Here is an 11,728-nt window from a genome sequence, read left to right as displayed (position 1 = left end):
GAACAACAGACACTGGAGCCTACTTGAAGGTGGAGGGTGGGAGCAGGGAGAGAAGCAGAAAAAATAACTATTGGGTACTAGGCTTAGTAGTTGGGTGATGAAATGATCTGGACAACAACTCCCCATTACAGGAGTTTGCCTATATAACAAACCTGCACATATATCCCTGAACCTAAAATAAAAGTTAAAAAAAAAAAAAAGAAAGAAAGACCACCAGATTAGGACAATGAGAGAAGCCTGAATTTTGCTAAGATGTAGACATAAATGATTACTAGCCATTATTCCAGAGGTAACAAGATTTGCAACTCTCCCAATGATTCCTGCAGGTAACATCACCATTGTAGAACCTAAGACCAACTTTTTGAGGTATCTTCTCAGAGTTTTGCATTTCTGACAACCAATGTCTCCCTGGACCCACCCAGAAGTAGACTCCCTGGCCCAACAAACTACCCTTGAAAAATCCTAACCTCTGAATTTTCAGTGAGATTAGTTTGCGTAACAACTCCGTCTCCCACGTGGCGTGACTGGCCTCATGTCAATTAAGTCTGTCTTTATTGCAATGCGGTGGTCTCAGTGAATTGGTTTTTTGCCTGTGCAGTAGGCAGGAAGAACCCATCAGGCAATTACAAGAGGCACAAAATTTCTTTTTTTTTCCTTTTTTGAGACAGTTTTTCTCTTGTTGCCCAGGCTGGAGTGCAAAATGGTGCGATCTCAGCTCACCGCAACCTCCGCCTCCTGGGTCAAGTGATTCTCCTGCCTCAGCCTCCTGAGTAGCTGGGATTATAGGCCTGTGCTACCACACCCAGATACTTTTGTATTTTTAGTAGAGACAGGGTTTCTCCATGTTGGTCAGGCTGGTCTTGAACTCCCGACCACAGGTGATCCGTCCCCCTTGGTCCCCCAAAGTGCTGGGATTATAGGCATGAGCCACTGTGCCCGGCTGAGGCACATAATTTCTTTAGTCATGTAAGTGTCAATGAAGAGTCAAACTCTGTAAAATATTTGAGGAGATTTATTCTGAGCCAAATATGAATGACCATGGCTGGTGACACAGCCCTCAGGATGTCCTGAGGTAGTCGGAGTGCAGCTTGGTTTTATACATTTTAGGGAGGCATGAGACATCAATCAAATACATTTAAGAAATACATTGGTTTGGTCCAGAAAGGTGGGACAACTCAAAGTGGAGGGTGGGGAGGTAGGCTTCCAAGCTATAGGTAAATTTAAACGTTTTCAGGTTGACAATCGGTTGAGTTTGTGTAAAGATCTGGGATCAATAGAAAGGAAATGTTCAGGTTAAGATAAAAGATTAGGGAGACCAAGTTTCTTCTGAAGTCTCACAGTGGCTGCCCTTAGAGACAACAGATGACAAATGTTTCCTATTCAGATCATTAAAAGGTGCTAGACTCTTAATTAATCGCTTTAGCATTGGGAGGGCCTGGAAGAAAAAGACCTAGCTATGTCAGAGATTCTTTACAGATGCAAATTTTCCCCCACAAAGGACAGCTTTGCAGGGCCATTTCAAGATATGGCAAAGAAACATGTTTTGGGGTAAAATATTTTGACTTTCTTCTTTGTCTCATAATGTTATGCCAGAGTCAGATTGGAAAGTAAGTCACGATATATAGTGTTAAATAAAACCCATCTGATGAGAATTTATGGTTTGTAGGGCATGACTCCCCAGATCCCTTAGACAGGAATTTGGGCAAGATAAAATAATTAGAGCTTAGTCCTCATAAGCCTGTGGTAGGAAACCAGAATAAAGAAGACGGACATATTCCTTACTCATGTTGGAAACATGGGGGGGCTAGTTCCCCAATCCATTGGCAGAGCAGGCAGAAAAGGAATCAAATGCATCGAGCTCACAGCTCAGCTGCCTGCTTTTGTTTCTGTTTTTCAAAACACCTGGCCTGAAATTAGCCCTGAGAAGAAATCCCATTTTCCACCATTGCCCCTTTCTCCCACTTGAAGACAGAGAATCCTGCCTTGTAACAATACCAAATGTTTACAGTGTTTCAGACGCTGGGCTTCGCATTTACATACTTTATCTCATTCAGTCTTCACAGCCATGCTAGGAAGTACAGGCTAATATTATCCCATTAATAGCAGCTGGTCCAAGAGGTTACATTGCTTGCAGGGATTTGAACCAGCTTGCCTGTAATTTCCAACTTAGCTCTATTCTTTGGCACTTATAGAATGAGGCTGCTTTATTCTCTCCCTAAGGCATCCCATCAAGTAGTTGAAGACAGACATCACAGGCCTGCCTAAATTCCTTTTACAGCACGTTTTGGTCTTTGGCCCTTATATCAAATGGTTCACATTTGGCTGGGTTAGTTCCTTCCCTCTGGATATGTTCCAACAGATTACTATGCCTTGTTGGTTGTTTCTTTTTTTTTTTTTTTTTGAGACAGAATCTCACTTTATCACCCAGGATGGAGTGCAGTGGCATGATCTCAGCTCAATGCAATCTCTTCCTTCCAGGTTCAAGCGATTCTCCTGCCTCAGCCTCCAGCGTGGCTGGGACTACAGGTGCGTGCCACCATGCCCAGCTATTTTGTTGTTGTTGTATTTTTTTTAGTAGAAATGAGGTTTTGCCATATTGGCCAGGCTGATCTTGAACTCTTGGCCTCGAGTGATCCACCCACCTCAGTCTCCCAAAGTGCTGAGATTACAGGCATGAGTCACTATGCCCAGCATTTTTTTTTTTTTTTTTGAGACAGAGTATTGCTGTATCACCCAGGCTGGAGTGCAGTGGCAGGATGCCTGCTCTTAGTCAGGTATTGTTAGCAGTGGGAATCCACAGGGCCTGCAGCAAACTCAATTCTTGTCTCCTCAGAGGAAAGAATTCGACTAAGGGGTGTAAGGTACAGGGAGAAACCAAGGCAAGTTTTAGATTAGGAGTGACAGCTTATTTAAAAGTTTTAGGCCAGAAACAGTGGCTCACACCCGTAATCCCAGCACTTTGGAAGGCCACGGCAGGCAGATGGCTTGAGCCCAAGAGTTCCAGACCAGCCTGGGCAACATAGTGAAACCCCGTCTCTACAAAAAAATACAAAAAATTAGCTGAACCTGGAAGGCCAAGGCAGGCAGACGGTTTGAGCCCAAGAGTTCCAGACCAGCCTGGGCAACATAGTGAAACCCCGTCTCTACAAAAAATACAAAAAATTAGCTGAACGTGGTGGCGTGCACCTGTGGTCCCAGCTACTTGGGAGGCTGAGATGGGAGGATCGTTTGAGCCCAGGAGGCAGAGGTTGCAGTGAGCCGAGATCACACCACTGTACTTCAGCATGGATGACAGCTTGAGACCCTGCCTCTAAAACAACAACAAAAAAGTTATAGCGCAGGAATGAAAGGAAGTAAACTCCACTTAGAAGAGGGCCAAGCAGGCAACTTGAGAGATTCAAGTGCTCCGTCCAACTCTTGACTTGGGGTTTTGTACGTTGGCATGATTCTGGGTTTGCATTTCTTCTCCCCTGATTCTTCCCTTGGGGTGGGCTGTCCACATGCACAGTGGCCTGCAAGCACTTGGGAGGGGCTGCATGCACAGTGTGTGTACTGAAGTTGTGTGCATGCTCATTTGAAGCGTTTTCCCCTTCCCAGCCAAGTGTTCCTAGAAGAAGGTCATGTATCAGTTAAACTCTGCCATTTTGCCTCTTAGTGCGCATGTTTGAACCTGCTGGCCCAACTCCTGAGATCTGATCAAGAAGCTGCTGATCATCAGCTTCAGGTGTTTCCTTATTGGGAGACTGCCTTTTCCTGGCACTGGCTACAATCAACTATTATTTTAGAGAGACACCCGCCTGCCCATCACCTGATTGCCCCATTCCTAATGGGGTCAAATGGGAGGGGCGTCCCCTGCCCTGCTTATGTCTGCCTAGCTACCTACTCTAACGATGTGATATTTTAAGTATGTTCAGAAGAGCGGGACTTACAGAGTAACCAGCTTCTCCCTTATTCTGGATATCTTGCTCCTATGAATGCAACCATATCGTCAGTTGAAAATTCTATCACTAACAGTGTCAGAGGCGTTCGAACCAGAGTGACTCCATGTTGAACAGGGGCTGGGCAAAATGAGGCTGAGACCTACTGGGCTGCATTCCCGGGGCTTAGGCATTCTTAGTCACGGGATGAGACAAGAGATTGGCAGGAATGATATCACAAGATACAGGTCACAAAGACCCCGCTGATAAAACAGGATGCGGTGAAGAAGCCAGCCAAATCCCACCAAAACCAAGATGGTGACAAAAGTGACCTCTGGTCATCCTCACTGTTCATTATACACTAATTATAATACATTAGCATGCTAAGAGACACTCCCACCAGCACTATGAGAGTTTACAAATGCCATGACAATGCTTGGTAGTTACCCTGTATGGTCTAAAAGGGGGAGGAACCCTCAGTTCTGGGGAAATCCCTGCCCCTTTCTTGGAAAACTTATGAAGAACCTACGCTTGGTTTAGCAAATAATCAAGAAATAACCATAAAAATAGCCAACCAGCAACCCCGAGGGGCTGCCTATGGAGTAGCCATTCTTTCATTTCTTTACTTCTCCAATAAACTTGCTTTCACTTTACTCTATGGACTAAGCCCTGAATTCATTCTTGCACAAGATCCAAGAACCCTCTCTTGGAGTCTGGATTGGGACCCCTTTCTTGTAACAAGAGGCTAGGGCTTCAACAAAGGCACCACCACTAGAAAGGAGGAACATGGGTCCAGGAGCACTTACCCAGGAGTATGGCTGGCTGAGGGATATCTGTCTGTATCTGCTAGCTACATTTCCCTCAAATATATAGCTCTTGATGGCCTCATTTTCCCCAGGGGAATTACGTGGGTTATAGATTGGGAAAGATCTGAATGACTCCCCCTCTTTATTCAATTCTGAACCAGGCAAGGTTAAGCCTCAGCTGTTTCTTTTGTGTTACATTTGGCCCATCTGGGGTAAAGATTATGGCTAATGTGTATGAAGCCCTGACAATTTGCTTTCTATGTAGTAGGTTGGACCAAAGTGATATAGGACTTAAAGAGAAATTATTTAAGCAGATAGTGAGGGTAAGGAAGTCCTCGGTAAGGTCCTCCTTTTAATAAAAAGCAACCCCCAAATCATTTTTCTTTTCTAACAAAGAGCAGCCTACAAAATCGAGCTGCAGAATAGATAAGCAAGCTGGAAGCTTGCACGGGGGCAGCTGTGCCAATAGGAAAAGGCTACCTGGGACTAGGCATGTTCAAAATGGCGGCTCCATCTTCCCTTCTCTTTGCCAGCCATGTGCACAGTAAGGAGCAGAAAACATGGCTGCCGGCCAAGTGAAAGCCCATTTACATAATAACATTGGAGTGGGGTGGCCAGCCTTCCCCACAAATTAGGTAAATGTCACACCTGGCCCAACCAATCTGTGGGCCCTATGTAAATCAGACACTGCCTCCTCAAGCCTGCCTATAAAATCGGGTGCACTCAGGCTTGGGCTGGAATTCCCATTCAGGTGCCCCCTCTCTGGCAAGAGAGAGAGAGCTGTTCTCCCTTCTCTTTCTTTTGCCTGTTAAACCTCTGCTCCTAAACTCACTCCTTGTATGAGTCCATGTCCTTAATCTTCCTGGTGCAAGAAGATGAGCCCCGAATATTTACCCCAGAAAACAGTGCCACTTCAAAATCATGAATATTATTATTAATTCTTTTCTTGGTTTGGGATGAAGGAGAAATATCTGATCTTTTACTGAAGGGCTAGTGGTGTGGCCCGTGGTGACTTAGTAACTGAGTCAGGCGAAGCCAACCCTCTCTGCAGAGTCCAGGCTGCTGCAGGATGCAAGTTGATTATGGTGAGGGTGGCTAGGCATGCGTTTTACCAGAAAGGAATGTGAACAGTAACTTCGGCTCTAACCAGGAGGGCAAAGCACGTAATGTCATGTAAGGGATGCTTATGTAAATGAGGTAACAGAAGCAAAAGCAAGCTGTAAACTTCAAGTGTGGGGCATGGGCTTATTGTTATTTTATTTTATTTTATTTTTGAGACAGAGTTTCGTTCTTGTTGCCCAGGCTGGAGTGCAATGGCACGATCTTGGCTCACTGCAACCTCCACCTCCCGGGTTCTAGCGATTCTCCTGCCTCAGCCTCCCAAGCAGCTGGGATTACAGGCATGCGCCACCACACCCAGCTAATTTTGTATTTTTTTTTAGTAGAGATGGGGCTTCTCCATGTTGGTCAGGCTGGTCTCGAACTCCTGACCTCAGGTGATCCGCCCACGTCAGCCTCCCAAAGTGCTGGGATTATAGGCGGAGCCACCGTGCCTGGACTATTGTTATTTTTACACGGTTCATTCTGTCTCTGTAATAAATGAACCTATTAGCTAAACATTTAAGACTTTCTTGTAGAAGGCTACCTTATGCCGGTCAGGTTGCCGGAAGCAACAGAAGCATTTTTCTCAGGAAGAAATGGCTGAAAGCCCATGGTCTTTATTGATTTACATTTGCGGGCCATAACTCCTTATCTCTTTTCTGCTCTTGAGAGCATGATGTTCGCCCATGTAATATATGAGTCTGACCAGCATTGCCAAGTCTTGAGCAACTGGAGAGGGAGTGGGGATTTGTGTTGAAAAGTCATTTGGGAACCCAGGTTATTGAGCTCAATCTCCCCTTTTCTGTCTCTATGGAGAAACGGGCCGGTATTGCTTCTCTGTAGGGTCCAAAGGATGAATCATTTATACTTGTAAAGTTCTTTGAGATCCTTGGATGTTACATAAACACGAAGCATAATCATTATGAATTATAAGTGAAGCAGACGGAGGTTTTAAATTAAGTAGCACCATTGTGTTATTTTTCATCAGGATTCAGAGCAGCCAACCTTTCCAGCAGAAGTAACTTAGATAATTTGATTCTCTCACTTAACCAGGACTGATCACTGCGGGGATAGAAATTAATTTCTTGAAAAACAGCTGCCGGTTTTCTTCCCCACCAGCCTCTCTCCAAGCTTTGCAAATGTGGTCGTAATGAAACTGTGGCGGAGGTTCCTCTGGGATGACTTGTTAATTCAACAGGGGCCCAATACGTGGTTCTCCAACTTTTGGTTTATCTGAAAAATGGTCAGGTAAATGCCAGCAGCTGTGCCAATGTCCTCTGAGCATATGAATGTCCTGTGCGCACCAACCATCGTGGTCGTGTCCGCCCACACCAGATCGAACGCTTACAGAGACTGGGTGCGCATGGACTAAATGATTCGGAGCTTTAATGAAATGAGGCTCAATCTGGCTGGTAATTTGTCTGAATTCAATCCTTCCAAACGACCCCAGTAAGGGACAGAGTTGGCACTGTCCGGATCTACTGTTTGCCCCCTTGCCAGGAAATCAACAGGAAGGTTGTGTGTGAGTTGAGCTGAACCCTTACACTTCTTTTTTTCTTTTTAGACAGAGTCTCACTCTGTCGCCCAGGCTGAAGTGTGATCTCGGCTCACTGCAATCTCCACCTCCCAGGTTCAAGAGTTCCTCTTGCCTCAGCCTCCCGAGTAGCTGGGATTACAGGCACCCACCACCATACCCAGGTAATTTTTGTATTTTTAGTAGAGACAGGGTTTCATCATGTTGGCCAGACTGGTCTCCAACTCCTGACCTCAAGTGATCCATCCACCGTGGCCTCCCAAAGTGCTGGGATTACAGGCATGAGCCACCGCACCCAGCCTGAACCCTTACACTTCTGTTCACAGATTCTGTGACAGTTTGGTGTGGCTGAGTTGGTCATAGGCTATCAACTTGGTTACAAAGCTGGAAATATGAGCTAAGGCTGGGAGAAGGTTGGATAGGCCTGGGAAAGACAGAAACTAATATTTACTTGAGTGTACACCCCATGCCAGTAACACCCACTATTTGCTCATCCTTGGGTTATGCCATTCAATGGCTGTATGACCTCAAGGAATTCACTGAACTCCTCTAAGCCCTAGTTTTCTCATCTATCAGATAAAGGCATTGGGGCCAGATGTGTCGGCTCAGGCCTGTAATCCCAGCACTTTGGGACGCCGAGGCAGGTGGATCCCTTGAGTTCAGGAGTTTGAGACTAGCCTGGGCAACATGGTGAAACCCTGTTTCTACAAAGAATTAGGTAGGGATGCTGGTGCATGCCTGTAGTCCTAGCTACTTGGGAGGCTGAGATGGGAGGATCCCTTAAGCCCGGGAGGCAGAGGTTGCAGTGAGCCGAGATCATGTCACTGCACTCCAGCCTGAGTGACAATGGAACCCTGTCTCAAAACAAAAATGAAATGAAACAAAACAAACAACAACACCAAAAAAAAACAGATAAAGGCATTGGAATAGGTGGTTGCCAAGATCCTGTATGACCCTGGAATTGTCATATTGCAATCTGCAAAGAGCCATATTGAAGAAGGAAAGGAAAGCTACATTTCCTACAAAGAGACTGTGCTGGGGGACATTAGTCAAGCCTGTTAGGATTCTGCCATGTTAAAGCAAGTTCTCCCTGCTCAATCCCTTAATGATATTCTATCCTGGTTCCTAGAACTTATCTCTCCAAGTATTCAGCGAGAACCCAGATGTTCTTCATCAGGAGTGAGTCTGCCTTCCTAGGGGCAAAGTAGACTGGAAAATAGCATTTGTGGGTAGGTGAATGGAGAGTTTTCCCCAAACTTCAAAATGTAGGTCTATCTTTGCTGCTGGCATTTGAAGAGTATATGAGGGAGGCAGCAGATGAGAAACACAACTCTATCTACAGTAGACTTGAGGAACAATCACACAAAAACAACTGGACATTAAGGTTAATAAATTCCTATTCCTGCAAACTGCCTTCAGCTACCCTGCATCAATAATGTGATTTCTGTGACTTTTTTTTTTTTTTTATTATACTTTAAGTTCTAGGCTGGGCGTGGTGGCTCATGCTTGTAATCCCAGCACTTTGGGAGGCTGAGGCAGGTGGATCACAAGGTCAGGAGATCGAGACCATGGTGAAACCCCGTCTCTACTAAAAATACAAAAAATTAGCCAGATATGGTGGTGGGCGCCTGTAGTCCCAGCTACTCAGAGAGGCTGAGGCAGGAGAATGGTGCGAACCTGGGAGGCGGAGCTTGCAGTGAGCCGAGATCGCGGCACTGCACTCCAGCCTGGGCGACAGAGTGAGACTCCGTCTCAAAAAAAAAAAAAAAAAGGTTCCAGGGTACATGTGCACAACGTGCAGATTTGTTACATATGTATACATGTGCCATGTTGGTGTGCTGGCATTACTGGATATATACCCAAAGGATTACAAATCATGCTGCTATAAAGACACATGCACACGTATGTTTATTGCAGCACTATTCACAATAGCAAAGACTTGGAACCAACCCAAATGTCCATCAATGATAGACTGGATTTCTGTGACTTCTTCCCCACATTTGAGGTTGCCTTGAAGTTAGTGTTCCTTGGGTTTTGATTTTGTTTGAATATAATGTTTATAATATTGTTTTGCCGAGTAGAGGAAGGGCAGAGTGTGTGGCAGAGATGAATGATTTTTTTTCAGTAACATTTATGTTTCCTCTTCCATAGCCTGGGGGTCCCAGCTTGGGGTTCTGCATGCAGCCATGTGCTGAGTTCTTATAAGTAGAATGTAAGCAGAGGTGATTAATATCATTTAAGAAGCAGATAAGCTTTCTCTAATGCACTCTCTCCTTTTCTGCCAGCTGGATACAGATAAGACAAGAACTCAGGATTGGCTGAGCCATAGGTTAGAAGGAGCTTGGATCCCCAAATCACTGCATGGAGGAAATCCAGTGGCCAACCAGGAACATCCATCAAAAATAAACTTTCTGCTGACTCTTACAACTTGAGAAAGACTTTCTAATAATCTTCCTTTGTATTCTGGATCTGCTTCACTTCTCCTGTGAAGATGTTTTGGAGTCAGGCTTTACTAAAACTGTGGCTCACTAAAGGAGAGAGCTATCCTACCAGGAGCTAAGAAGTGGGACTGGGCTTATACTACACAGAAAAGATTAGTGAGGTGCGAGGTGGGGTTGTGATGAAAAAAACCATAGAAAGACACCAAAGCCCACTCAGGTGGATATCAGAGGGACTGGAGACCATACATAGCAGAATGTACTGAGGTTGAAGAGAAAGAATGGACAAGTCAACTGGGAAGAATGCAGAACATAGCGAGAAATAAAAGCATCCAGTGGAAGTTGATGCTTTGTGAAAGCCCTTTTCCTTACTTCTCCATTTGTAATCCATGCACACCCTGCCCTCCATTCCAGTCTGCAAAGGGATGTCCAAAAGAGAATGCAAATTTTTGACGCTCCTCCTGTTTAGAAATAGGGTCTAAGTACCCTCCCTTTGAGGCTAGACAGGCTGACTCATCTAAGACTCCTTCAACCAAGAGAATGCAATGGAAATGTTAGTGTTCAACTTCCAAGGCTAGATCACAAATGCCATAAAGTTTCTGCCTTGTTCTCTTGGGAGGCTCATTCTATTACCTGGGGAAAGCCATCTGTTACCTAAGAAGTCTGACTGCATGAGACTTTCATGCTGGTGAGGCCATGTGCAGGTGTTTCAGTCAACAGCCCCCACTGTGCACCCAGATGGCTGTTGGCTTCAACCATCAGCCATGTGCATGCACCATCTTGGATGTCCAGCCCGATTGAGCCTTACAGTGACTGCAGCCCCAAGTGGCATCTAAATGTTACCTCATGAGAGATCCCAAGCAAGAACTTTCTAGGTGAACCTTTCCCAAATTTCTGATCCACAAAATTGTAAGCAAAATAAAATGGCTGTTTTAAGCTGCTAAGGTTTATGTTTGTTTTCTTTTCGAGATAGAGTCTCACTCTGTTGCTCAGGCTGGAGTGCAGTGGTGTGATCATAGCTCACTGCAAACTGAAACTCCTGGTCTCTAGCACTCCACCAGCCTCAGCCTCCTGAGAAGCTGGGACTACAGGCACATACCACCGGGCCCAGCTGTTTTAAATTTATTTTTGTAGAGATGAGGTCTCGCTATATCTCCCAGACTGGTCTCAAACTCCTGGCTTCAAGCCAGCCTCCTGCATCAGCTTCCCAAAGCACTAGGACTATAGGTGTGAACCATCATGCTCAGCCCCTGAGCTGCTAAGTTTTGGAGTAGTTTGTTACTAGGCAAGTGTTATCATAACCAACTATATCAGGTATTATAGTTTTTTTTTTTTTTTTTTTTTTGAGACGGAGTCTCGCTCTGTCGCCCAGGCTGGAGTGCAGTGGCGGGATCTCGGCTCACTGCAACCTCTGCCTTCTGGGTTCAAGCGATTCTCCTGACTCAGCCTCTCACGTAGCTGGGATTACAGGCACGCACCATCACGCCTGGCTAATTTTTGTATTTTTAGTAGAGACAGGGTTTTGCCATGTTGGCCAGGCTGGTCTCAAACTCCTGACTTCAAGTGATTTGCCCACCTTGGCCTCCCAAAGTGCTGGGATTACAGGTGTGAGCCACCATGCTCAGCTACAATGGGGTATTCTGAACCCCATGGCTTCTGTGTTTTTTGCCTTTCCATGCCTAGCCAATGTGCAAGCCTTTGTCCTCTTCCATTAGGGTGACTTTGGCAGTTGTGACTTATATTGTTCCAGTATTGGCATCTGCACTTACTTGAGGTAGATTCTAGGGGGTTTGAATGACATCTTGTTTCTTTTCCCTACAAAATAAGCTGATTTCTTTAGTCTCACACATGATTTCTCTGAGAAAAAGTTATTGATTGTCACAATTCTCTAGACTGGGCAGTCGATGCACACCAGTTTAAAGGAAAAGGGAT

At 45.3% G+C, this 11,728-nt stretch overlaps 3 annotated features.

Moving 5' to 3' along the window:
- Nucleotides 949-1,554: an enhancer, noted in NCBI's record as "OCT4-NANOG-H3K27ac hESC enhancer chr7:68331717-68332322 (GRCh37/hg19 assembly coordinates)". NCBI's record gives its function as "activates a minimal SCP1, AML or CMV promoter by ChIP-STARR-seq in naive H9 embryonic stem cells {active_cell/tissue: H9 hESC(naive)}" and the evidence as "EXISTENCE:reporter gene assay evidence [ECO:0000049][PMID:30033119]".
- Nucleotides 1,555-2,160: an enhancer, noted in NCBI's record as "OCT4-NANOG-H3K27ac hESC enhancer chr7:68331111-68331716 (GRCh37/hg19 assembly coordinates)". NCBI's record gives its function as "activates a minimal SCP1, AML or CMV promoter by ChIP-STARR-seq in naive H9 embryonic stem cells {active_cell/tissue: H9 hESC(naive)}" and the evidence as "EXISTENCE:reporter gene assay evidence [ECO:0000049][PMID:30033119]".
- Nucleotides 2,161-2,766: an enhancer, noted in NCBI's record as "NANOG-H3K27ac hESC enhancer chr7:68330505-68331110 (GRCh37/hg19 assembly coordinates)". NCBI's record gives its function as "activates a minimal SCP1, AML or CMV promoter by ChIP-STARR-seq in naive H9 embryonic stem cells {active_cell/tissue: H9 hESC(naive)}" and the evidence as "EXISTENCE:reporter gene assay evidence [ECO:0000049][PMID:30033119]".

Source organism: Homo sapiens, chromosome 7, assembly GCF_000001405.40.
Source record: "Homo sapiens chromosome 7, GRCh38.p14 Primary Assembly".
Lineage (NCBI taxonomy): Eukaryota > Metazoa > Chordata > Mammalia > Primates > Hominidae > Homo > Homo sapiens.
Note: the sequence above shows the minus strand (reverse complement) of the source record. Positions and strands in the feature narration are given on the sequence as shown.